General features: G+C 36.6%; 1 protein-coding gene across 4 annotated transcripts in view; it reads left to right on the forward strand.

The window, feature by feature from the left end:
* Positions 1-27,816, forward strand: part of AGPS (alkylglycerone phosphate synthase) — a 151,062-nt gene that overhangs the window by 51,819 nt on the left and 71,427 nt on the right. For 3 of the 4 annotated variants that reach the window (NM_003659.4, XM_011512041.3, XM_047446104.1), the window contains exons 8-10: positions 955-1,035; positions 17,302-17,427; positions 23,825-23,933. In NM_003659.4, coding sequence (NP_003650.1) covers positions 955-1,035; positions 17,302-17,427; positions 23,825-23,933 — 316 coding nt within the window. The remainder of the gene's footprint in view (positions 1-954; positions 1,036-17,301; positions 17,428-23,824; positions 23,934-27,816) is intronic. The other variant, XM_047446105.1, reaches the window with a different exon arrangement.

A 27,816-nucleotide genomic window follows, 5' to 3' on the forward strand; every position in this document is an offset into this window, starting at 1 on the left:
TTTGGAATGTAGGCAGCAACTGCTATTTTTGTATTGTATTTTGTATTGTCTGTTGTGCTCTTTCCTTTTTATTATTAAGTAGATTTATCTATGTTAGTTATTGCCGTGAAATTGAGCATATGAAAGTAGAAAGAAAGCTTCCCTGGGATCCAGAAGAAGGTTCTATATGTTACCCAATTGCTCAGCCAGATAGAAAGGGGAAAGAAGTCTGCTCTTAATAGTAGAAAGTAATTCATGAAAATTCATATATGTATATAAAAGTTAGGTCAAATAAGAATGCCAAATAACATTTTTTATTGGCAGTCATACGTTTGGTAAGTTGAGCCAGATGAAATTTAGTTCCTTCTTTTGAGCCCGAGGCAGGGATTTGCTTTGTTTTGTACATGGGGTCTCTGGCCCTGTTTTGAATTAAAAATAAAGTAGGGATGCCATCTGCTATATTCAAATGTCCTTGCAGATTGTTTTTTCTAATCTTATGGTCATATTCTGATATTCTTAAATTAGATAGTGATTGCTATGTTAACACAGTGCAGATAGTATTTGCACAATGCCAGGACCTGTATATGCTGTTTTTTTACATGGAGTACCTCATTTAATTATTGTAGCCAACACTTTATGTATTATTACTATTTTACATTTTACAAATGAGGAAACAATAAGCTTAGACAGTTAAATAATTTGCCTAAGGTAAGAGAAGGAATTTAAATTAACCTCTGAATAAAGACAGAGTCTATGTTTTAAGCCAACCCCTGCATAATATGCTGCCTTTGTTACTATGTTGTCATGTTGTATAGTCTGGGATAAGTGGACTTGGTTTCCAGTGTGGGTGGTTGAGGGGAACCCTTCTTGCTTAATCACTGTCTTACCACTTGTTGCTTTGAATTAGGAAGTTATATTTCCTGAGAAAATATTAGTAGTTCCTGGAGATCAGATTTCTTTCTTCCTTTGCAACAGAATCGAATTCTCTGGGTTGATGAGAACAATTTGACAGCTCATGTAGAGGCTGGCATAACAGGACAAGAGTTGGAAAGACAGGTATGTTATTTATTTTTCTTATTTTTTTAAATTAACTTATTCTAATATCAATTCTGATGTTATTTCTTTAATGAAAGTTTTCAAAACTGTATCCCCTCTATGAATGAAATACCTTTTATGATACATTCATTCACTCAAAGAATTTGTTTAGTTTCTATTATGGGTCAAGCATTGAGCTAGATTCTGAGGACATGATAGTGAATAAGGCATTGTCTGCTACCTTCAGGTAGCTTAGATTAGGACAGAAAGTTCGATAAATAATTAATTATTTGGAGTGAAAATTGCTATGTGGATGCTAAATGCAGGGTATTATGGATCATCAAATGGGGCTAGGTGGGAACGAGTTGGGCAAAGAAGGTATCACATAGAACCTGGCATTTTTTTTGTTGTTGTTAGTACTGAGTCAGTGGCAAAGGACACAGCATTTAAAATGAGACTTCAGGATGAGTCTGAGTTAGCAAAAAAGGAAAGAACAATCCAGAGGAAGGAGCATACATGCAGGGCTTCTCAGGGTGACTGTTACTTTTTTTTTTTTTATTTTTTTTGAGACGGAGTCTCACTCTGTCGCCCAGGCTGGAGTGCAGTGACGTGATCTCGGTTCACTGCAAGCTCCGCCTCCTGGGTTCATGCCATTCTCCTGCCTCAGCCTCCCCAGTAGCTGGGACTACAGGCACCCACTACCGCGCCTGGCTAATTTTTTGTATTTTTAGTAGGACGGCGTTTCACCGTGGTCTCGGATCTCCTGACCTCGTGATCCGCCCGCCTCGGCCTCCTGAAGTGTTGGGATTACAGGCGTGAGCCACCACGCCTGGCCGACTGTTGCTTTTGAGGGTCTGCAGATAGCTGAATATGGCTGAAGGCTAGTGTGTGTATGGGAGAACATGTCTTCTTGGTATTTGTATATTGGGTGGGTGTGGGTACAGTAGTGGTAAAGGATCAAGCCAGGAAAACATGAAGAGTTCAGATCATAAAGGGCCTTATAAAGCCCCTTTTAGAAGTTTGAACTTTACTTTTTTACTGGTATTGTTCTGGCTGCTGTGTGGTGAAATGGGTGGTCTATGTAAGGGTGGACTAAGAGACTGCAACAATAATTTAGGCAAGAGCTGAGAGTGACATGAAGTAGTAGAAATGGAACAAAATGGAACAGTTTGAACATGGAATTCTAGGATCTTGGTGATATATTTCATCAGCTGGGTGAATATTGGTATTCATTGAACTTTTCAGTGTGCAATTTCATTGACAACTACTCATTTCATAAATTCATGAAATTCTTGGAGTTCTTATAGTACCTTTTTGGGATCCTAATGAATTTTTGGAAAACTTTAGGTTTCTTTCATAGATTCTAAGCAGGTAATAGTGAAAATAAATTGGTTCCTTCAACTTCCTCAAACATAATCAAGATAACGATAACTCAGCTTTTGTAAACAAAAATTAGAAAGTCCAATTTGTTAGTGATGTACTGACCATTTTGTTCAACTTGGGTTATAGAGACCCCTCTCCTCCAAACCTTTAATAGGAAGAGATGTGATGTGATTGTTATCTTATTTTGTTGTTGTTTTCTTTTCTTTCTTGAAAAGTTGATTGACATTGATCTGCTCCTGACCATTTCTGGATGATAGGCTTTGAAAAAAAATGATTAAACTATTTATTTTTTATTTAATGCAGTCAGATGCAGATAACTGGAATAAAATTGAACTTATTTGTTGAGACAGTGTTAAAGATCCTCAATAAATTAAGGTTTTATATCAGATAAATAGATTTATCAATTATTATAGTTTATAATGAACTTTAGTGGGCAGAATAATAGTATTTAATGAAAAAACCTCTAAAAAGTCCTGTATCAGTATTCCATTATGCTTAAATGAGGCATTATCAGCACAGCACTTTTTTTTATAACAAAGAATGGCCTTTTATGTCACCAATTTTGTATCTTTATTATAGCATTTGATGTAGTATTTTAACCTTTCCAAGTTTTCTTTTTTTTTTTTAAAGGTTAGAATTAAAATTCAAGGAACATATTTCCTTGAAATTTAAATGACATTTTCCCAGACTAGGAACTTCTGATATTTTACCTACTAGTTCATTTCCCTAAATGCCGATATAGAACTTTCTTTTTTGCCTCCAGTAGGCTATAATGTAGTTCCTACAGCTATTTTGATCCCAGTAAAAGTTCTTCCTCATTAAACTTTTGTGTCCTTCAGATTCTACTTCAGTTGAGGTAACCAGTTTAAAACATCCTGGCTTTTCTTTCTGCAAGCTTAAAATGACACAAATACAGTAGTTGGGTAGCACAGATTTTAATCGCTTTAACTTGTAAATCACATTGATGTTAACATGATAAAATTTAATGGAAGCTGCTAACATGTCAATTATGGATTTGGAGAATTTTTCCTACGTTTATTAAATCTTTGGCTACTTTTATTGGTTAATAGTCTGAGGTTATCTGACTCGAATTTTTTTTTTTCTGCTTAGGCACATCATCACTAATAACCTCACATTATCTTTCTTTGTTTCTAATAGCTATTAGCTCTCACTGCAAACCTCAATATAGCTCCTAGCTGTGTGACCTTGGGCAAGTTACTCACCTTTAAGCCTCAGTTTCTTTACCTATAAAGTGGGTATCATAATTCCTACTTCGTGGGGTTTTTCATCAAGATGAAATAAGTTAATAATGTGAACTACTTAGAACTTTGATTCATTCCACTAATTTTTATTGAGCACTATTTGCTTCATTCAGGCTAACAGACTTTAAATATTCTTTTTATGTGCTGTAGACTCCAAAATTTATATTATCATCCTAGACTTCTTTGCTGAACTGATATAGCCACTTGCCTAATTGATATCTCCACTTGCGTATTTACAGACATTTCAAACTCCGCATTTTAAAAACTGAATTTTTAGAGGAAAAATTTGCAATCTTGTCTCCAAAATGTGTCTGTTCTGTAGCCGCCTTCTTCTCTTCAGGAGATGGAAATTCAATTCCTTAGGCAGCTTGGACCACAATCTTTGAAGTCATAGATTTTTGTTTTATATTGCTTTATAATAGCTTGAGATATAATTATGATCTAATATGTACAATTTAATGTGTACAATTTGATAAGTTTCGACATATGAATATAACCATGAAACCATCATCACAATCAAGATAATGAACATATCCACCAACCCCAAAAGTTTTCCTCTTTCTCCTTTATAATCCTTTCCCACTCCCACCCACAACCCTTAAGCAACCCCCCAGGAATCACTGATTTGCTTTCTGTCACATAGATTTGCTTAAATTCCCTACAATTTTAATAAAGTGGAATCCTACAGTATGTATGGGAGGAGGGTCTGGCTTCTTTCACTAGGCATAATTATTTTGAAATTCAGCCATATTGTTGCATTTATCAGTAGTTCATTTCTTTTTGTTGCTCAGCAGTATTCCATTGTATAGATATGCCACTGTTTTGTTTATACATTCACCTGTTGATGAACACTTGGATTATTTCTAGTTTTGGGCTATTACAAACAAAGCTGCTATGAACGTTCATGTGAAAGTTTTTGTATAGACATATACATTTGTTTCCTTTCGGTAAGTAACTGGAAATGGAATGAATAGATCAAAATGGTAGGTATATATTTACCTTTTTGAGAAACTATGAAGTTTTTTCCCAGAGTGATTATATCATTTTATATTCCCACCAGCACTGTATAAGAGTTCCAGTTTCTCCATATCCTTGCCAATACTTTGTATTGCTAGTCTTTTTAATTTTAGTCTAAACTTTAGTAGGTACATAGTAGTATCTTATTGTAGGTTTGTTTTGTTTTGTTTTTTGAGACAGTGTCTCATGCTGCTGCCTGAGCTGGAGTGCAGTGGCACGATCATGGCTCACTGCAGCCTTGACCTCCCTGGGCTTAGGCAATCCTCCCACTTCAGCTTCCTGAGTAACTGAGACCACAGGCAAGTGCCACCATGCCTGGATAATCTTTATATTTTTCTGTAGAGATGGAATTTTTTGCCATGTTGCCCAGGCTGTTCCTGAACTCCTGGGCTCAAGTGTTCTGCCCACCTTGGCCTTCCAAAGTGTTGGGATTATAGGCTCGGGCCCCTGTGTCTGGCCTCATTGTAGTTTTAATTTATATTTCTCTAATGACTAGTGATGTTGAACATCTTTTCATGTGCTTATTTGCCATCCATATTCTTTATTGGTGAAGTTCTCCTTAAATTATTTGCCCAATTTTTTTTTTTTGAGATGGAGTGTCGCTCTGTTGTCCAGGCTGGAGTGCAGTGGTGTGATCTCGGCTCACTGCAAGCTCCGCCTCCCGGGTTCATGCCATTCTCCTGCCTCAGCCTCCCCAGTAGCTGGGACTACAGGCGCCCACCACCATGCCTGGCTAATTTTTTGTATTTTTAGTAGAGACGGGTTTTCACCGCGTTAGCCAGGATGGTCTTGATCTCCTGACCTTGTGATCCATCTACCTCGGCCTCCCAAAGTGCTAGGATTACAGGTGTCAGCCACCACGCCCAGCCTATTTGCCCAATTTTAAGATTGGGTTGTTTTCTTATTATTGAGTTTTGGAATTCTTTATTTATTCTGGGAATAAGTCTTTTTTCAGATATATGCTTTGCAAATATTTTCTTTCAGTCTGTGGTTTCTCTTTTCATTTTCTTACACTATCTTTTGAAGACCAGCTGTGTTTAATTTTTATGAAGCCCAGTGTATTAATTTGTCTTTCTATCATGCTTCTGCTGTTGTGTCATAATGCAAGGTTATAGAGATTTTCTCCCATTTGAGTTTTATAATTTTTAGTCTTAGATTTAGGTCTCTAATCAGTTTTGAAGATTTCTGAGTTATTATTTGTATATGGTATAAAATTGGATTGAAGTTAATGATTTTTGCACATGGATATCCAATTGTTCAGCACCATTTATTGGAAAAGATTATCCTTTCTTCACTGAGTTGACTTTGCACCATCATTTAAAAAAATCTGTTGTCTATATATGTCTGCTTCTAGTTCTGGACTCTATATATGTCTCTGTGCTAATACTATACTGTTTGGATTACTATAGCTTTATCACGAGTCTTTTTCAAAGTTGTTTTGGCTATTCTAGGTTCTTTGTATTTCTATATGAACTTCATGTTCATATGGAAATGTCAGTTTCTGTTAAAAAAAGAAAAAGTCCCATTGGGATTTTGATTGGGATTGCATTGACTCTATATATCAGTTTGAGGAGACTGACAGCTTAACAGTTTTGATTCTTCTGACCTGACCCATGAACATGGTATATCTTTAGTTTTTTGTAGGTCTGTAATTTCTCTCAGCAGTGTCTTACGGTTTTCTATGTACATGTCTTTCATATATATATATTTTAGAGACAAGATCTCATTCTGTTGCCCAGGCTGGAGTCTAGTGGCACCATCATAGCTCACTGTAACCTTAAACTCCTGGGCTTAAATGATCCTCCTGCTACAGCCTCCCCGGTAGCTAGGACTACAGGCATGTGCCACCATGCTTGGCTAATTTTTTAATTTTTCTGGAGACAGGGTCTTGCCATATTGCTGAGACTGGTCTCAAACTTCTCGCTTCAACCTACCACCCTGGCCTCCCAAAGTGTTGGGATTATCGGTATGAGCCACCATACCTGGCCTCGTATATTTTTAAAAACAGGATTTGTCCCTAAGTAGTACATATTTTTTGGTGCTGTTGTAATTGGTATTTTTAAAAATTGTCAGTTTCTGGTTGTTCTTTAATAGTGTATAAAAATACAGTTTTTTATACTGATCTTATATCCTGCAACTTTACTAAATTCACTAAATTTTAACTTTTTTTTTGTAGATCTCATTGGATTTTTTACATAGATGACTATGTTGTGTGTGAATAAAGACAGTTTTCTTTCTTTCTTTCCAATCTGTTTGCCTTTTTTTCTTTTTCTTACCTGATTGTACTGGCCAGATAATGTTGAAAAGAAGCGAGACTTGTTTCTGATTTAGGAGAGATGTGTTCAGTCCTTTAACTATTAAGTATTTGTTAACTATAGGTGTTTTTTGTAGATGCCCTTTATCAAGTTGAAGAAGTCCCTTTCTTGTGTTAATTTATAGAGTTTGAATTAGGAATGGATGTTGGATTTGTGAAAAAAATGTTATTTTGTGTCTTATAGTTGAGGTTAAGTTGAAGTAATTTATTTGAGTTCAGTCTTATTTTCTAAAGTAGAAAATCAGTGCTGATTTTTTCCCAATTGTTGCTTTAGTGACATGCCACCAATTTTGATATGTTTATTTTCATTAATTTGAAAATATTTTCTACTTCTTTGATTTTTTCTTTGATCTATGGTTTACTCACCATGTATATATGTTATTTAGTTCCCAATTATTTTGGGATTTTTCCAGATATCTTTCTGTCATTGATTTCTATATTAATTTTGTTGTGTTCAGAAAACATACTTTATATGACTTGAATCCTTTCAAATTTATTACTACTTGTTTTATGGCCCACAGTACAGCCTATTTTTAAAATGTTCCATGTGCACTTGCAAAGAATGTGTTTTCCTGCTGCTGTTTGGTGAAGTAGTCTTTAAATGTCTGTTAGGTCAGATTGACTTATAATGTAATTCAGGTCTCTTATATTTTTTATTTTCTGTCTACTTGTTCTGTCAGTTATTGAAGGGGGGTATTAAAACCTCCAACAGTAATTGTAGATTTGTATATTTCTTCTGCAGTTCTATTTTTGCTTGGTGTATTTTAAAGCTCGGTTATTAGGAGGATAAATGTTCAGGATTGTTATGGCTTCTCGATTAACTGACCCTTTTGTCGTTATGAAATGACCTCCTTTATGTGTGATAACATGCTTTGCTCTGAAATCTGCTTTTTCTGATACTAAAATAGCTATTGGAGTTTTCTTAGCATGGTATATCTTTTTGCTTTTTCCATTATTTTACTCTTAATTAGTTTGTATCTTTATATTTAGAATGTTTTTCTTATAGGCAGCATATAATTGGTTCTTTTCTTTTTATCTAAGTTGACAATCACTACCTTTTCATTGAGGTGTTTAGATCATTTACCTTCAGTGTGATTTATTGTGGTTTAGTTTAAATCTGTCATCTTGCTATTCATTTTCTGTATTTCCCATCTGTTTTTGTTCTTCTTTCCCTCTTTTACTGCCTTTTTGGGATTTTTTTTTAAATGATATGCTTTATCTCTTTAGTTTCTTTAGTAGTTTTAAGTTTTTGTTTTGTTTTAGGATTTGAAGTATACATCTTTAACTTGTGTCAGCTACCTTTGAGTGATATTGTAATACTTTGCAGTATCATTTAAAAAATTTAAATAATATGAAAGCATCTTGTGTATTTACCCATCTAGTTAACCTTTCCTATACCCTTAATTTTGTCTGATGTTATTTGCCTTCTGCTTGAAGGACTTCTTTTAACATGACTTTAGTGTGGGTCTGCTGTTGGCAAATTCTAATTTTGTCTGAAGAAGTCTTTATTTCACCTTTGTTTTTAAAAAAGATATTTGAAGTGAGTATATAATTGTAGATTGATATTCTTTCAGCAGTACAAAGATGTTGCTCCACTGTTACCTACTTCATTGCTTTTCATGAGAAATCTGATATTATCTTTGTCTTTGTTTCTGTGTATGTAATATGCTTTTTCCCCCTCTGGCTACTTTTTTTTTTTTTCTTTGAGACAGAGAGTTTCACTCTTGTTACCCAGGCTGGAGTGCAGTGGCCTGATATCGGCTCACCACAACCTCCGTCTCCCAGGTTCAAGCGATTCTCCTGCCTCAGCCTCCAGAGTAGCTGGGATTACAGGCATGCCCCACCACGCCCAGCTAATACTATATTTTTAGTAGAGATGGGGTTTTACCATGTTGGTCAGGCTGGTCTAAAACTCCTGACCTCTGATGTTCCACTGCCTCAGCCTCCCAAAATGCTGGGATTATAGGCATGAGCCACCACAGCCAGCCTAGGTTGCAGACTTTACGACACTTAACTTAAATACATCAGCACCATCTCCTAAAGACAGAAGAATAGTGTTCTTCTTTATAACTATAATACCATTATCATGTCTAAGAAAATCAGTAGTAATTTTTTTTTTTTTTTTTTTTTTGGAGACAGAGTCTTACTCTGTCGCTCAGCAGGCTGGAGTGCAGTGGTTCACCACAACCTCTGCCTCCCGGGTTCAAGTGATTCTCCTACCTCAGCCTCCCAAGTAGCTGGGATTACAAGCTTGAGCCACCATGCCCGGCTAATTTTGTATTTTTAGTAGAGACGGGGTTTCTCCATGTTGGTCAGGCTGGTCTCGAACTCCCGATCTCAGGTGATCCGCCCACCTCGGCCTCCCAAAGTGCTGGGATTATAGGCGTGAGCCACTGTGCCCAGCCCCCTCTGGCTACTTTTAAGATTTTCTTGTTATCACTGGTTTGAGCAATTTGATTGTCATGGACCTTGGTGTAGTTTTTCTCTGTGTTTCTTTTGTTGAGGATTCGTTAAGCTTTTTTGATTTGTGGCTTTATAGTTTTCATCAAATTTTGAAAAACTTTGTCCATTATTTCTTCAACTATCCAATAAACCCCCCTCCCCGCTGACCTTTAGGGACTCTATTTACTCACTTATTAGGCTCTTTGAAGTTCCACAGCGCACTGCTACTCTTCTCATTTTTTTCTTTTAGTTCCTGTTGCTATGTCTTGAAGTTCACTACTGTTTTATTTTGCTATGTCTTTTCTGCTCTTAATCCCATTAAATATATTTTTAATCTCAGACATTATATTTTTCATCTCCAGATGTTTAATTTGGGCCTTTTTATATCTTGCATGTCTCTACTTTTTGAACATATAGAATACAGTTATAATAACTGTTTTAATGTTCTTGTCAGCTGTGTCTAACGTCTGTGTTAGTTCTGGATTGGTTTTGATTATTCACCCCATAATGATTATGGGGTGTTTTCCCGCTTCTTTGTAGCTTGGTAATTTTTATTTTTATTTTATATATATTTTATTTTTATTTTTAATTTTATATTTTTAATTTTGAATGGTAATTTTTGATTAGATGGTAGCCATTGTGAATTTCGATGTTTTTCAGTTCTACAAATATTCTTCAGCTTTTCTCCTGGGATGCACTTATGTGGAAACAGTTGATCCTCTAGTTCTTGCTTTTATGATCTTTTGCTTTTTTCAGTCTGAGACTAATTACTTTCCACTACTGTGGTATGACATTGTTGGATATCCTACCTAATACTCTGTGAATTAATAGTTTTCTCAGTTGGACTAGTGGAAACAGGTACTGTTTCTGGCCCTCTGTGAGTGCTGGCACTATTCTCTAATCTACTGGTGTCCAGCCCTTTGAATGTGAGGACTTTTTTGGTGGCAGATATCATGAAAATTATGCATAGACCTTTTTTTTTTTAAGCTCATCAGCTGTTGTTAGTATTAGTGTATTTTATGGGTGGCCCAAGACAATTCTTCTTCTTTCAGCGTGGCCCAGGGAAGCCAAAAGGCTGGACACCCGTGCTGTAATCCATCTGGAGTATATCTTCCTCTGGTCTTTGGTATTTCACTCACTTGCATTTACTTTTCAGTACTCTGCTGAAGACCTGAGGGGCACACTCTGCAGATCTCCAGGCACCTCTCTTTGTGCTGCTTTTTTCTGTACTTTTTCCTGTGAACTCTAAATGCCTTGATTGCCTTGACTGAGCTCTATGCTCAATCTCAACTCAGTGTTTGCCAAGTTGTGCCTGGATTCTGTTTCTGTGGAGCGCTAAACTAGGGTCAAGTCACAGTGCTCATCACCTGTGTTTACTTTCTCATAGGATCACCGTCCTTCCTGACTGCAAGTTCAGTGTTTGAAAACTTTTTTTTTTTCTTTTTTAAAATACAAGGATGGAGTCTCGCTATGTTGCCCAGGTTGGTCTTGAGCTCCTGGCATCAAGTGATCTTCCTGCCTCAGCCTCCTAAAGTGTTAGGATTACAGGTGTGAGCCACCATGCCTGGCCTGTTTCTTCTATTTTTCTGTGTTTTAGTCTTATTGGGTGGGAGGGTAAATCCTAGCTCCTTTAACTTCAGTTTGGGTAGAGGGGGAAGTTCCTGCTCTGCTTTTTATTTTTTTCATCACACTTCTAATTATTCTGTATAATTTAATTATGATTCTTAATTTCAGTTTCCTTTACTATTTCTCCTGTTTTTTTTTTTAGCAGCATATACATTTTTCTCAATATTGCTCTATAATATAAGCACCATAATTTAGGGATTTTTTAAGGAATATATCTGAAGGTCAGCTTGTAGTCCGTAAATATTTGTTGTTTCAGTATTGAATTGGAACACAAGTGAGATAAAGCTTTTATTCCCCTAGAGCTTCATGGCACATGGTAAATAAACACAGTTATTTTTATCTAGCGTCATATGGGGCAGAGATGTTATTTTATTAAAAAAGAAATCTTGAGTCAGACATGGTGGCTTATGACTATAATTCCAGCACTTTGGGAGGCCAAAGCAGGAGGAATGCTTGAGCCCAGGATTGGAGGCTGCAATGAGCCATGATTGTGCCATTATACTCCAGTTTGGGAGACAGAGTGAGACCCTTTCTTGGGGAACGTGGTGGGTGAATATTTGATTAATTGTATGAGTAAATCTGTGGACCTTTCTTCAGCAAATTTTTCTTACCAGCTAATGGCATTAACAGAGACACAGACCTTATAGGAGAAAGCGGCTAAATGTATATGATCTTAGATACCATTTATTAAGCACTTACTATGCACCAGCAGTTGTTTCTCACTAAATTTGCATATTGTGGTATACTGCGGTATGCAAATTTTCTAGCAACAGTAAATGACAAATTTCAAACCCAGGGATTTTTGTTTGTTTTCTTAAACTTTTTGGCAAGAAAAAACCCAGGTTTTCAACCATTACACTTTCTTCACTTATTTAGTAGGAAGTTAGTAAGATTTTAAATGAAGTAAATTTAAATTGGTGTGGTAGAGCTCATTCAGCATGGGGAACATCTGGTTTTTTTGGTATCTGTATCTTTTGCTTTACACAATTCCTGGTATATAGTACCTGCTTGTAATTGGAGAAGATAATGAAGTAACCTACCTGACAAAAGAAACAAATTAATCGTATATATAATATTGGATATACTGATAGAAATAAAGTGTAACACCGCACTGTTAATACTAGACAGATCAACGAGACAGAAAATTAACAAGGATATTCAGGACTTGAACTCAGCTCTGGACCAAGCGGACCTAATAGACATCTACAGAACTCTCCACCCCAAATCAACAGAATATGTATTCTTCTCAGCACCTCATCACACTTATTCTAAAATTGACCACGTAATTGGAAGTAAAACACTCCTCAGCAAATGCAAAAGAACAGAAATCATAACAAACAATCTCTCAGACCACAGTGCAATCAAATTAGAACTCAGGAATAAGAAACTCACTCAAAACCGCACAACTACTTGAAAACTGAACAACCTGCTCTTGAATGACTACTGGGTAGATAACGAAATGAAGGCAGAAATAAAGATGTTCTTTGAAACCAGTGAGAACGAAGACACAATGTACCAGAATCTCTGGGACACATTTAAAGCAGTGTGTAGAGGGAAATTTATAACACTAAATGCCCACAAGAGAAAGCAGTGAGGATCTAAAATTGACACCCTAACATCAAAATTAAAAGAACTAGAGAAGCAACAGCAAATTCAAACACTAGCAGAAGACATGAAATAACTAAGATCAGAGCAGAACTGAAGGAGATAGAGACACAAGAAACCCTTCAAAAAATCAGTGAATCCAGGAGCTGTTTTTTGAAAATACCAACAAAATAGACCGCTAGCCGACTAATAAAGAAGAAAAGAGAGAAGAATCAAATAGATGCAATAAAAAAAGATACAGGGGATATCACCACTGATCCCACAGAAATACAAACTACCATCAGAGAATACTATAAATGCCTCTACACAAATAAACTAGAAAATCTAGAAGAAATGGATAAATTCCTGGACACATACACCCTCCCAAGTCTAAGCCAGGAAGAAGTCAAATCCCTCAATAAACCAATAAGAAGTCCTGAAATTGAGGCAGTAATTAATAGCCTACCAACCAAAAAAAGTACAGGACTAGACGGATTCACAGCTGAATTCTACCAGAGATACAAAGAGGAGCTGGTGTACCATTCCTTCTGAAACTATTCCAAACAATAGAAAAAGAGGGACTCCTCCCTAACTCATTTTATGAGGCCAGCATCATCCTGATATCAAAACCTGGCAGAGACACAACAAAAAAAGAAAATTTCAGGCTAATATCCCCGATGAACATCGATGCGAAAATCCTTAATAAAATACTGGCAAACCGAACGAATCCAGCAGCACATCAAAAAGCTTATCCACCACAAGCAAGTTGGCTTCATACCTGGGATGCAAGGCTGGTTCAACATATGCAAATAAATCAATGTAATCCATCACATAAACAGAACCAAGGACACAAACCACATGATAATCTCAATAGATGCAGAAAAGGCCTTCAATAAAATTCAACACCCCTTCATGCTAAAAACTCTCAATAAACTAGGTATCGATGGAACGTATCTCAAAATATTAAGAGCTATTTATGACAAACCCACAGCCAATATCATACCGAATGGGCAAAAGCTGGAAGCATTCTCTTTGAAAACTGGCACAAGACAAGGATCTCCTCTCTCACCACTCCTATTCAACATGGTATTGGAAGTTCTGGCCAGGGCAATCAGGCAAGAGAAAGAAATAAAGCGTATTCAAATAGGAAGAGAGGAAGTCAAATTGTCTCTGTTTGCAGATGACATGATTGTATATTTAGAAAACCCCATCGTCTCAGCCCAAAATCTCCTTAAGCTGATAAGCAACTTCCACAAAGTCTCAGGATAGGGTGCAAAAATCACAAGCATTCCTATACACCAATAACAGAGAGCCAAATCATGAGTGAACTCCTATTCACAATTGCTACTAAGAGAATAAAATACCTAGGAATCCAACTTACAAGGGATGTGAAGGACCTCTTCAAGGAGAACTACAAACTGCTGCTCAAGGAAATAAGAGAGAACACAAACAAATGGAAAAACATTCCATGCTCATGGATAGGAAGAATCAATACTATGAAAATGGCCATACTGCCCAAAGTAATTTGTAGATGCAATGCTATTCCCATCAAGCTACCACTTACTTTCTTCACAGAATTGGAAAAAACTACTTTAAACTTCATATGGAACAAAAAAAGAGCCCACGTAGCCAAGACAATCCTGGACAAGAAGAACAAAGCTGGAGGCATCATGCTACCTGACTTCAAACTATACTACAAGGCCACAGTAACCAAAACAGCATGATACTGGTACCAAAACAGATGTATAGGCCAATGGAAAAGAACGGAGGCCTCAGAAATAACACCACACATCTACAACCATCTAATCTTTCACAAACCTGATACAAGCCATGGGGGAAAGATTCCCTATTTAATCAATGGTGTTGGGAAAACTGGCTAGCCATATGCAGAAAACTGAAACTGGACCCCTTCCTTACACCTTATAAAAAAATCAACTCAAGATGGATCAAAGACTTAAATGCAAGACCTAGGACCATAAAAATCCTAGAAGAAAACCTGGACAATGCCATTTAGGACATAGGCATGGGCAAAGACTTCATGTCTAAAACACCAAAAGCAATGGCAACAAAAGCCAAAATTGACAAATGGGATTTAATTAACCTAAAGAGCTTCTGCACAGCAAAAGAAACTATCATCAGAGTGAACAGGCAACCTACAGAATGGGAGAAAATTTTTGCAATCTATCCATCTGACAAAGGGCTAATATCCAGAATCTACAAAGAACATAAACAAATTTACAAGAAAAAAACAACCCCATCAAAAAATGGGCAAAGGATATGAACAGACACTTCTCAAAAGAAGACATTTATGCAGCCAACAGACATATGAAAAAATGCTCATCATCACTGGTTATTAGCGAAATGCAAATCAAAACCACAATGAGATACCATTTCACGCCAGTTAGAATGGCAATCATTAAAAAATCAAGAAACAACATATGCTGGAGAGGTTGTGGAAAAATAGGAACGCTCTTATGCTGTTGGGAGTGTAAATTAGTTCAACCATTGTGGAAGACAGTGTGGCAATTTCTCAAGGATCTAGAACTAGAAATACCATTTGACCCAGCAATCCCATTACTGGGTATATACCCAAAGGATTATAAATCAGCCTACGATAAAGACACATGCACATGTATGTTTACTGCAGCACTATTCACAATAGCAAAGACTTGGAACCAACCCAAATGTCCATCAATGATAGACTGGATTAAGAAAATGTGGCACATATACACCATGGAATACTATGCAGCCATAAAAAAGGATGAGTTCATGTCCTTTGTGGGGACATGGATAAAGCTGGAAACCATCATTCTCAGCAAACTATCACAAGATCAGAAAACAAAACACCACATGTTCTCACTCATAAGTGGGAGTTGAACAATGAGTACACATGGATACAGGGAGAGGAACATCACACAGTGGGGCCTGGGGCGCGGTGGGAGGCTAGGGGAGGGATAACATTAGGAGAAATACCTCATGTAGATGATGGATTGATGGGTGCAGCAAACCACCATGGCATGTGTATACCTATGTAACAAAACTGCACGTTCTGCACATGTACCCCAGAACTTAAAGTATAATGATAAAAAAAAATGCAAGTAAGAGGTACCATTTGGGGAACCATCAGTTAAAACAAGTGATTTAACTGTTTCCCATCTGTGAAAATAGGAATAATAATAGTGTCAGCTTCATATGGTTGTTGAGCAGATTAAATGAATTAACACACTTAAAAAATTAGTTAAAGTGTGTACTTAAAGATTTGCTTCTGTATAATGTGAAGTTTGTTTTGTCATGACAGTATGTGAAACCTCTCTTTTCAGTACCTGGTACATCTTAGGGCTCCATGAATGTCTTTTTTTCTTTTCCCAATTTCATAAAATTGAGTAAAAGTTTATGTTTTAAAAGAAAATTGAGTAACAGTAGTGTTTTAAGAGAAAATAATTCATAGTATTTTGTTTGGAGATGGAGTTAGGGAAGAAATATAATGTAACAGTCTGATAATCTTCATTTTAACCTCTTCAGCCATTTATTTAAGCTTCTTTTTAATAGATGGATATTAATCTCTTAAAACTAAATAATATATTGAATATTTAGTGGAGAAACTTTTATTATATAACAGTTGATGTCTTTTAAAATCTTGTTTTCCTAGCAGCAAAATTAGAATAGATAGAGAATTTGTATTGCTGATATGCAAAACCTAACAAATTATATTTAACCTAATAGGCTTTCATATTTTGGATTACAACTTTCACACCATACTTAAATACAAATATACAGACGTGGCTGACATATTCTACATAGCTGTGTGGCTTACTTGAAAAATAGAACAGTTGCTTAACTGGATGACTATCAAAATGGTCAACACAGATTGATGGGCTTGAGTGTAGCAGACAGCGGGTATGCAGATGGTGGTGTCTGTACCGTTTGAGAAGAGATGGCTGAGTCTTTAAAATGATTTCATTGGAATGGCTTTGGTGGTGTTGCAGTAAAGGGCATCTATTCAATCTCAGGTGCTGTGCAGATGGCAAAGCCAAGATAATATAGAAAAATGAGAAACAAGTGACTATTTAATGTATAGTAATGCATGATCTGCATCACAAATAAATGACGTTATTACATGCAGGAAACCTATCCAGATGCCTGTACATTAAAACACATGACTCCTTGAGAGAATTAAGTACAGGCAATTTGCTCGGATTTTCTGCAGGCCTGCTGCATATTACATTAGGGTAGAGAGAACAAGAGATTAAGTGCTTTATTTATTGAAAGTGTTTAGGTAAAGTTGGCTGTTATTTAAGCATAATCTGATCTCCATAAATATTTAAACTATCTCTTTGTAGAAAAAAAAAGTGGGGAAGGACAGCTGGCCTTAAAACAAAAGGATGTAAGGAGTATGATTATCTGGTCAACCTGTGAAAAATAGAACTTCTTTTGGCCTACATTTTTTAATCTTGTAACATTTTCCACTAGGCAAAAGCTTAAAAAAATTTTTAGGACTAGTGTGATAAAAGTATCTTTTTTTTTTTTTTTTGCTATGTAGGAATTAATAAATTCAAATATCAATGACATGGAAATTTTAAAGTGGGAGGAGTTAATGTGTTGAGTGCTGTACGTAATGGGACCATTTTCACTGTAAAATGTTAAATTTTTGTTTTTCAGCTTAAAGAAAGTGGTTATTGTACAGGTCATGAACCAGATTCCCTGGAGTTCAGTACTGTAGGAGGATGGGTATCTACTCGCGCATCAGGCATGAAGAAGAATATCTATGGCAATATCGAGGACCTGGTAAATATTTTTCTAGTTATTATGTAATAATTGATTAGTATATAGATATTATTATAAAATGATTAGAAGCCTTTAAAAATTAAGAGTTGGGCCTGGGCGCGGTGGCCAATGCCTGTAATCCCAGCACTTTGGGAGGCCGAGGCGGGCGGATCATGAGGTCAGGAGATCGAGACCATCCTGGCTAACAAGGTGAAACCCCGTCTCTACTAAAAATACAAAAAAAAATTAGTCGGGTGTGGTGGCGGGCTCCTGTAGTCCCAGCTACTCGGGAGGCTGAGGCAGGAGAATGGCATGAACCTGGGAGGCAGAGCTTGCAGTGAGCCGAAATTGTGCCACTGCACTCCAGCCTGGGCGACAGAGCGAGATTCTGTCTCAAAAAAAAAAAAAGAAAAAAGAAAAAGAGTTGGATGGTAGATTCCCCCCTCCCATAAATAAACTCCTTTTGACTATAATAACATTGGACATGTATAGTAGAAAGTTAATCAAAACACAACTGTGGTCATTATTTAAGGATGCCCCTTTTCAGGTGACTACATTTTAAGCTTTGTAGATGTTTCACAGTATCCAGCTCATAAAATACGGTCAGCTCTCTATATCCACTGGTTTCGTATCCACAAATTCAACCAAATGCAGCTCAAAAATATTTGGAAAAAAAAATAACAATACCACAAGGAAAATAATACAAAAAATATAGTAGAACAACAATTTACATAGTATTTACATTGTATTATTCATAAATATTCTAAAATGATTTAAAGCATGTGAGAGGATGTGCATAGGTTTTATATAAATACTGTGCTGTTTTATGTAAGGGACTTGAGTACTATGGATTTTGGTATCCTCGAAGGTCCTAGAACCAGTTCTATGGGGATACTGATGGATGTCTGTATACAAATATTATTTTACAAGCCTCGTGGAAATGAAGTCTTCAACTCTACCGTGATTTTAGTCCATTTACTTAGATGATTTCGTTTTTGCTACTCTGTTTCCTTAGGAGATTTTGCATTTTTCTGAAAATAATTTTTCCTGTATAGAATTAAATAGGCTGATTGAAATTGTTCTACCAAGTAGTGGTAAGACCTGTCATGTTTTATGTGCACACTGCTTTTTGTAGCTGATATGGTGCCACTTTGCTGGGAGTTAGTATAATAATAGTATATAACTCTGGGCACCCTAGTTAGGGATTAGGTATCATTTGTTGCTTTTTCAATGATTAGTTGTGTGAATTTGTACAAATTGGTTTACGTTTCTAAACTTCAGTTTCCTCTTCTGTAAAATAGAATAATGATATTTGCTGCATAGAATTATTGTGAGGAGTAAAGGACATAAAATGAAAACTCAAAATCTCTGGTGTGTAGTAGGTGCTTCATAAATGTTGTTTCCTTATCGTCAATATTTTCATAGTAGTTTAAAAGAACTTTAATTTGAGACTATTAAAGTGATGTTCCCAACATTATTCCTGGAGCTATTTAGCTTTGCTTTTGAAATCTAAAGTTTCCACATTTTCATCAATATCTTTGTTATTAGGAATATTAAATCTTTAATAAAATATATTGGTTCTTTATAGTTAACACTGAGGAATTAAAAACTTTTGTCTATATTGTGAATACTTTTTAAATATTTTCATTATCCTATTTATTTTTCTTTATTCAAGGCATTTAGAAAAGCACATTTTTCTTTTTGCAATTAAAATAACCTAAATTCAGTTTTGGGGAGAAAATTTGATCCTTTTGCTATTGGATTATTAAGGACTTTATCAGAGTTAAGCAAATATTTGGTAAACAGCTACATTTAGCACTGTGAAATCATGTAGTTTATTTTAATCATTTTTTGGAGATATTTAAGGGATACAAATTATAAGTGTACATCCTAGTGTAATTATTTGCATTAATAATTACTTAGTGCATTTTATTTTATTTTATTTTATTTTGTTTGTTTTTGAGACAGAATTTCGCTCTTGTTGCCCAGGCTGGAGTGCAGTGGCACAATCTCAGCTCACTGCAACCTCCGCGTCCCGGGTTCAAGCGATTCTCCTGCCTCAGCCTCCAGAGTAGCTCAGATTACAGGCATGCACCACCATGCCCAGCTAATTTTGTATTTTTAGTAGAGATAGGGTTTCTCCATGTTGGCCAGGCTGGTCTTGAACTCCTGACCTGAGGTACTCCTCCTGCCTCGGCCTCCCAAAGTGCTGGAATTACAGGCATGAGCCACCGTGCCCAGCCAGCACGTTTTATTTTTAACTTAAATTTTTAACTCTGCAATATATAGTATCCTCTGAAGCTGTCTTAATTTATATTGTTTGCTTTTATGACAATTTTTCTAAAGTTGATATTCTTTTAATACATGTGGCTACAATGGAACCTGTGAAAAAATTAAAGAACGTGTTAATATATTTCGTAACATTAGTGCATATTTAATTAAAGCACAGTAACGATGCTCATAGCTTATTTAACTGTTTGAAAAAAGTTGAAGATAGTTGTTTAGTCCAAATTTTTTAAAAATTTAAAAGTTTTAACATCTGAAGAGTCAGAAGTCTGTGTACAATGGGATATACTTTTCATCTTAAATTCTGGTTCCCACTTGTTTTCAAGATCATTTTAAGGAATTCCAACTATAGTCCATCTCAAATACTTCTCAATTTAGTGAATGTCTCTTCACTAACGGATTTCCTGAGCATATCTGATTACACTTTCTTGTGCTAGTGTTACAGAGCTGAAGCTCATCGCTATTAGCGGTAATCCACTGCTTCTATGAAAGGAGCCTTGCTACATTCTTCAGTTATGAAGCACTGTTAGAAGGAAAAACATTGAACTCTGTAGTGACAAAACCAAACTAAAAATTCTGGATCTTCACAAAAGAAAGTAAAGTATGATGCAGTGAGCATTTCATTTTCTGAAGAAAATGCTTCTTTTAAAATTATAATTGGAATAGACAATTCAAGCAATTAGAAACTTATTTTTTATTTAAAAATATTCATTACAGAAGTATAAAAAATGTATGCTATAGCTGGGCATGGTAGTTCACACCTGTAATCCCAGCACTTTGAGAGGACAAGGCTTGAGGCCAGGAGTTGGAGACCAGCCTGGGCAACAGAGCAAGATGTCATCTCTACAAAAAATTAAAAAATTAGCTGAGCATGGTAGCACATACTTGTAGTTCTAGCTACTCAGGAGGCTGGAGTGGGATAACTGCTTGAGCCCAGGAGTTTGAAGTTACAGTGAGCTATCATCCCACCACTGCACTCCAGCCTGGGTGACAAAGCAAGATCCTATTTTTTTTTTAAGTGTCCTGTGTATATTAAATACATATCATTTTGAACACTTTTAACATCTTCGTATTCATCCTTCTGTCATGGGATTCTTGGGGTGTCACTTTTTTAGCCAGAAACTTCTGTCTGGCGGCACCTTTGCCCAAGTTTTGCTTGGGCCCACTGGGCTTGTTCAGCCCACTCGGCCTGGCAGGCTGTGCTTGGCTCACGCTGCTGGTCTGGATCCCATGCTTGCCAACGGCGAGCCAGGCACAGAGTAGTGAGGGGTGTGTGAATGAGTGAGTGTGGAGTCTGGCCACAGCGCACAGTCAGGCACGCCAGCTGTGGCAGGACGGGCAGCTCCAGGCATCAGCTCCCTACAAGGCTGCTGCTGGACCAGGCATACTGCAAGCAGCTTCCATTGGTGGCACCAGGGAATGTGGTGGTGCCTGGAAGCTTGGAGACGCCAGGGACTGCAGAGCCCCAAAGAGTGAGCCATAGCCCTGGCTCAGGGAGCTCCTAGGTCTGGGCTCCTTGAAGGGCCACAGCTCTTCTCTCCTTCTCTTTCCTCTCTTTCCCTCTCGTTGCCCTCCATGGGGCAAACAAGGGGTGTGTTTCAGCCCTGTTTGTGTTACAGCCCTTTCAGCTCCGCCATTTAGCGGGTCCTGAGTTTTTGTCCCACATCCAGGAAGAATGAGGTATGCGGACAAGTGGAGGGTGAGCAAGGTGAAGGAGTGCTTTATTGAGTGACAAAACAGCTCAGAGGAGACTCATATTGGGTAGCTCCTTTCCGCAGGTAGGCCATCCTGATGAGCATCCAGCTCTCAGCAGAGAGCCCACAGAGGGTAGTTCCTCTCCACAGGCAGGGCATCCTGATGAGTGTTTAGCCCTCAGGAGAGAGGAGACACACAGTGGGTAGCTCCTCTCCATAAGCAGGGCATCCTGATGAGTGTCAGCTCTCAGCAGAAAGGAGATCCACAGTGGGTAGCTCCATTCTGCAGACAGGTAATCCTGGCATCTGCCTAATTCTGGCTGAGTCCTGGGTTTTTATGGGGTTCAGAGGGGAGGAAGTTTGTGCTGATTGGTCCATGGGTGGTTATGGGCAATCCCGGAAAAAGCATCATAAGTTCCCACTCCAGTCCGTGGAACTGGCAGCCCAGCCCCCAGGCGTCAGGCCCTCCCTGGCTTGAAGGTGGGGTTTCACCGGGGACCGCCCATTTCCGCCCAGGAGCCTGTCTGCCTCCTGCCACTGTTTATGGTGCCCAGATGCCCAGGCTGTTCGTGCTAAGGGCCTCCTGCAGGCCAGTGCCAAGCTGCCCTCAGCCAGCACTTATCCTCCCTTCTGTGCTCATTGGTGCCCAAAGTCTGGAGGGGGCTGAGGCAGCAGGGTGCTGGCATGTCAGCACTGCCCTGAGCATGCGCACACCCGGCTGGGTTGCAACAGCACGCAGGCTCGGCCTCAACTTTTCTCCAAGATTGGAGCAGGCACTGGAATGGGGAGAAGCCAGGCGGTGGAAGCAGACACTTCCGAGCCTGCAGGGGCTGGGGGCTTCCCAGGCCCCCAAGAGTGTAGAGATGCCTGGGTCTGCAGCCACAGCTGGGTGGCTGCAGCTGTGTCCAGGAGGGTAGGATTCCTGCGTGCTTCCGGCCCCCAAGAGCACAGGGATGCCTGGATCCAGAGCCACAGCTGGGCTGCCACAGCTGCACTCAGGAATGCGTGGCTTTTGCTCTGCCAACTAGGAAGGGGGTGGGGCTTCCACCTGTTTCCAGCTCCCGTTGGCTCCATGCAGTGCACAGCCCTGGTCATGCCACCCCCACTGCAGCCAATGTCTTTGCAGCAGCCACTCCAGATGGGCTGCTGGTGCCATCACTTCTAGAACTGTTTCTAGGCATGCAATAAGCACATGAATGTATCTAGTTTTTAATATAAAAAAGAGGACCATATGTGTTTCATCTGCTCTTTAAATTATGTCATCAATATATTAACATGTAAATGAACAGGTTTGCACCATTGTTTTTAAAGAGTTATATAATTCTTTTATTGAGAATGCATGGTTTATTTAACTCCCTCTTAATGAACATTTAAATTATTCTTGATTTCAGAATTACAGAAAATAAAGGAAAAATATTCTTTTTAAAATTTCTTTGGTATATACATCTTTAATCATTTTCTTTGGGTAAGCTCCTTTAGTTGATTTGTTGGATCAAGAAGTTTATACATTTTAGACTTTGGATCCTTACAGCCAAATTGCCCTATAAAAATTTTGTACCAATTGACATTCTCACTAACACCATGAGAATCTTTGTAATTTACTGGACGTCTTATTTATGTTTTTGTATTTTGTTAATTGCTAGTGAATGTAAACTTTTAAGGGGTCCTCATTGGCAATTTTTATTTTGTATTTTGTGTATTGCTTATTGATGTTCTCTGCTCATTTCCTTCAATAATAAATAGACTGTTGTTATTTATCGGTCCAAAATTCATTCTAAAAATATTTTGGATTTTTACCTAACCACTTCTGATTCAGATCTCAGGAACTATTTTTAGAGTGATCCTACTTCCCCAGTATACTTACTTTCTCATTTGTATGATGAGTCACACATCTCTTTCCTTCTCTTAAGTTCAGTCATTGTTTCTACTGCTTCATCCCAATTTGACCTGGTCATAATTAATATTTAATTCTTTTCACTGTTTTCTACTAAGTGGGATTGAAGGTGGGGATAAAGGGAGAATAATTTTTTTCTTAGAATTCTAAGTGTCTAGAGCAGTGCCTGACATGAATAATATGCTTCATAAAGGTTATGATTATTGCTTAGTTTTTGAGTCCGTTAGTTCTGTGCCATATGGATAACCCTAAATTTGGTTTAAATAAATGTGTTATTCTGTTGTTCTTAAGATAATAAATAAACCACTTTAAATCAAGAGATGTACAATCTTAGAATGGTTTTTCCCTCTTTTAAGGTTATATACAAATTTAACTTTAGTCTAAAAATTACTAAAAGATACTAGAATTCTTAAAAGCATCACAATTTATTACTTAACCCAATACTTTAAAAGTAGGTTTTACATAAATATATATAAATGTCTGTACATAGACACACATTCACTAACAGATGTCTAGAATTTACATCGTGTATTGTATTAAACAGGTGGTTCATATAAAAATGGTAACACCTAGAGGTATAATAGAAAAAAGCTGTCAAGGACCTCGTATGTCAACAGGCCCTGATATCCATCACTTCATCATGGGATCTGAAGGTAAATATAACTGTAAATTTATTAAGAAAAAATACAGGTTAGTCATGCAGTTTTGTGAAAATCTTTATATTGTGACATCAGATCTTTGAAAGACATGTTTTATATGTTTAAGGAATTTTTTAAATTTTTATCATTTTAAGACTATAAAGTTTTATTATGAGAACATCTGATTAAACTTCCTCTTACATTTTGCTTTTTTATGTTTCTAGAGACAGCTTGATCTTTTAATTTTTATTTTAGAATTTTTAATGAATTTCAGGAAAAGTGGTCATTAGGATTTAAAATGGTTTATTTTGACATTTTGTATTATAGTATTCTTAAATCTTGTCAGAATTATCGGAGGAAAGGATTGATAAAGCATTATCTTATTGTCTTGTCTTTCTGTAATTATGTATTTTATAAAATTAATTACTATTAGAAGTGGAATTTAAAATTCTGGTTCACATATATTTTAAACTTTTGTTGGTCTTTTAATTTTTCACTACACAAATAGTATCATTTTCTTGGTTACTTAATGCTGGGTGGATTTGAATGTAGTTCATCTCGTCTAAAACATTTAAGTCCTGTGCAGATCTGGAAAGAAGTAACCTTAAAATAATTATTATGTAGGCATGGTGAATTGTATGGATAAAGTAAACATGGGCTTATTTTTCAATTTTTAGGATGGGAGAGGGACATTCCTTAAATTCAGAGAAATAAATTAAAATAAACAAGTGTTTCTACATTAACAGAGGAGCTCATTATTCACTTCAGAAGGTGGTCCAAGCTGCAGAAGATATATTTTGGTAACATTTAGCTATATTCATGAATAAAAGAGCAGGTACAATAAACTAAGATGTTAGGCATAAATTCTATTCTTTGACAGTAACATCAAAGAGGGAAAGTATAATAAACTATGTTTCTTAGTGATGTGGTAGAGATCAGTTGTTTGGCTGATGACCAGTAGTATTGCTTAGATGTTTTTCATGGTAACCAATGACAGACCTTTGTCAAGATATCTCACCAGTTTACTCAGTTTATTCCTTTTCTGATCAGCATACTCTTCTATGAAAAAACAAAACTATATTTGTAATAAGAAAAATAATCTTAAATTCATTTAAAATAATATGGTTACTTAATATTATTCTGGGACTTCTTATACTAATGCATCATCTACAAATTAGAGGAATGTAACTTTTTGCCATCAGAAGTCAAGTTGAATAACGAAAATAGCTATTAAAACTCATAATTTTTCATTACATTATTGATATTTACATAATTGGAGTCAACTCTATAAATATAAATAATTTTTTTTTCAAATAGCCACATTATACTTTTTTTTCTCCCATCAGTTAGCCTTTTAAAAATTCTAGTTGCTAGATATTATGCTGGGACATTTGAGACAGATAATAACAGACAATTATACAACAGCGTGACAAATTACATGATCAAGTAAAATGCAGAAGAAATATGAACAAGATGAAGTTGATAGGTGCTTACAAAGGCTTCCCCAGGGAGGCCATACCTAAAGTGGTCTTTGAGGTTGATAAGAAGAAAATAATTCCAGGTCAAGTTGAGGGAAGACAGAAGAGGGGAGTTGCCCTGCAGAGTGACCATCATGTTGGTGGGCTTAGAAATGAGAAAGGGCCATGTCTGCCTCATTATGAGGCTGCTGGTTTTTCAGTATGACTGGAATGTAAGGTTTAATTGTGGAGTAGAACAGGCAGCAGGTCTAGGAGCAGAATGGTAAGGGCTACAGGGTAGTTCGAGAGATAATTTGGTCTTTTCATGCCTTTTAAAATGATTTGAACTTTTATCTAAAAGACTGGGCTACCTCCGTAGGTAGTCACTAACTGTATGAATTTAAGGAAGGGACAAAGTTATTATAGTAAAGTAAGCAAAGAACTATAAGAGATTGGGCTGGGCGTGGTGGCTCACACCTGTAATCCCAGCACTTTGCAAGGCTGAGGCGGGTGGATCACTTGAGGTCAGGCATTCAAGACCAGCCTGACCAACATGTTGAAACCCCATCTCTACTAAAAATACAAAAATTAGTCGGGTGTGGTGGTGCATGCCTGTAATCCCAGCTACTTGAGAGGCTGAAGCACAAGAATCGCTTGAACCCGGGAGGCAGAGATTACAGACTGCAGTGAGCCTAGATTATGCCACTACACTCCAGCCTGGGTGATGGAGTGAGACTTTGTCTCAAAAAAAAAAAAAAAGAAAAAAAAAAGAAATATTTAAAATTTATGAGTCTAAATTACCATAGTTAAATGAGATTTTATTACAAAGTACATGCAACATAGCATACTGATAAAAGAGCATGAACCATGAAGTCTTTATCAGATCTGGATTTCCATCCTGATTCTACTACTTATATTTCCATGACTTTGTATAAGTTAGATAATTTTCAGTGCCCGGTGTCCTCAGCCATAAAATGGGAATAATAAAATTATTCATCTTCGTAAGTGTGTTATAAGGATTAAGTGAGATTATGCTGAACAATTTAGTGTAGTAAATACTGTTGTAGCTGCTTATTATTTTGATATCAGTGATCTTTACAATTTATGGTCCCTAATCCCCATTTCAGTTTGTGAATATAGAGTTATTTTAATATAGGCCAGGAGACAGCATGATTGAAATAGTAAATTTATATGAAATCATATTCTTACGTAAAATGTATTTTATCTGCTACTTTGACCTACCTGTGTAATAACTTCCTGCCTTAAATGTGAATCATAAACTTTTCTTGAGCTTTAAAAAAATTTCTTTCAGTTAAATCATTTGATGACAACCTTGAAAGTATTACTATCCAAAAACCTATTTTCTCCATCCGACTAAGCTCTATACGTGATTAACCATATTAAGTTTAATGTGTTTGTCTTGTTTTGTGTTATGAATTTTTCATGATTTTTTTCAACAAGTAGCTTTCTCCTATTTTAGATGCTATAACATGATCAGTATAATGAAAAATGTAATAAATATTCAAGCATTTGAAATGCTTTCCATTCTGTTTCTATATATGGTATTTACTATATATGGATTTGCTCTTTTATTTGAAAAACAAAGTACATTTTTGTTTTTTAACCCATGACTCACCCTTCTTTTAGTCTTTGTCTACAATTAAAGAGATGGAATACTCAATGTCAGTTCTTTTGTAAAGTTTCACTAGTTATTCTTTGCTTAAATGAAGATCATCCTTTGGTAGTTTCCTCAGGAAAGGCACATTTATATATCCCCAGAGTTCTGGAATGTTCCAAACTGGTTTTCTGTGGCTGTGATACTTGAAGGACAGCTTGAGTGAATATACCTTTTGGTCATTAATTTCTTTAAGTTTCTTTAAAATGCTATTTCCACTGTTACTTTGTTTTATATATTATTTTAAAGAAATATGATACCTGTTTAATTTTCTTAGTAGGCTAATTTTCTCTTTTTGCCTGGAGGCCTTGAGGATTTTTTTTCTTTATTGCTAAAGTCTAATACTTTTGCAACTTAGAGTTGATAGTCCTGGGTTATTTTGCTTCAGCACCCAGTGGACCCTTTCTATTTGTAGATTCAGGTCTCCTTTTATTTCTGTGAAGTTTTTTTTTGGATAGTAGTGTTAAATATTAGGGTTTTTTTTTTCATTGTTTCAGTTTTCATCCTCAGGGACATTGATTATACGTATGTTTGACTTTCTTTGCTAGTTTTCCATTTCAGTCACTTTTTCTCTGACCCTTTTTCTCTGACTTCTTAATTTTCATTCTCTTGATTATTTTTCTGGTTTTTTTTTTCAATGCCCTGTATTAAGTTTTAATTTGAATCTATTTTGTATTCTCCTTTGGGTAGTTTATAACATAGCCTTTACTTTTTACGTGCCTTTTTTTGGTTCTGTTTCTTTCCTCAGGTTAGTCAGCTCTTGTTT

Source organism: Homo sapiens, chromosome 2 (genome assembly GCF_000001405.40).
Source record: "Homo sapiens chromosome 2, GRCh38.p14 Primary Assembly".
NCBI classification, from domain to species: Eukaryota; Metazoa; Chordata; class Mammalia; order Primates; family Hominidae; genus Homo; species Homo sapiens.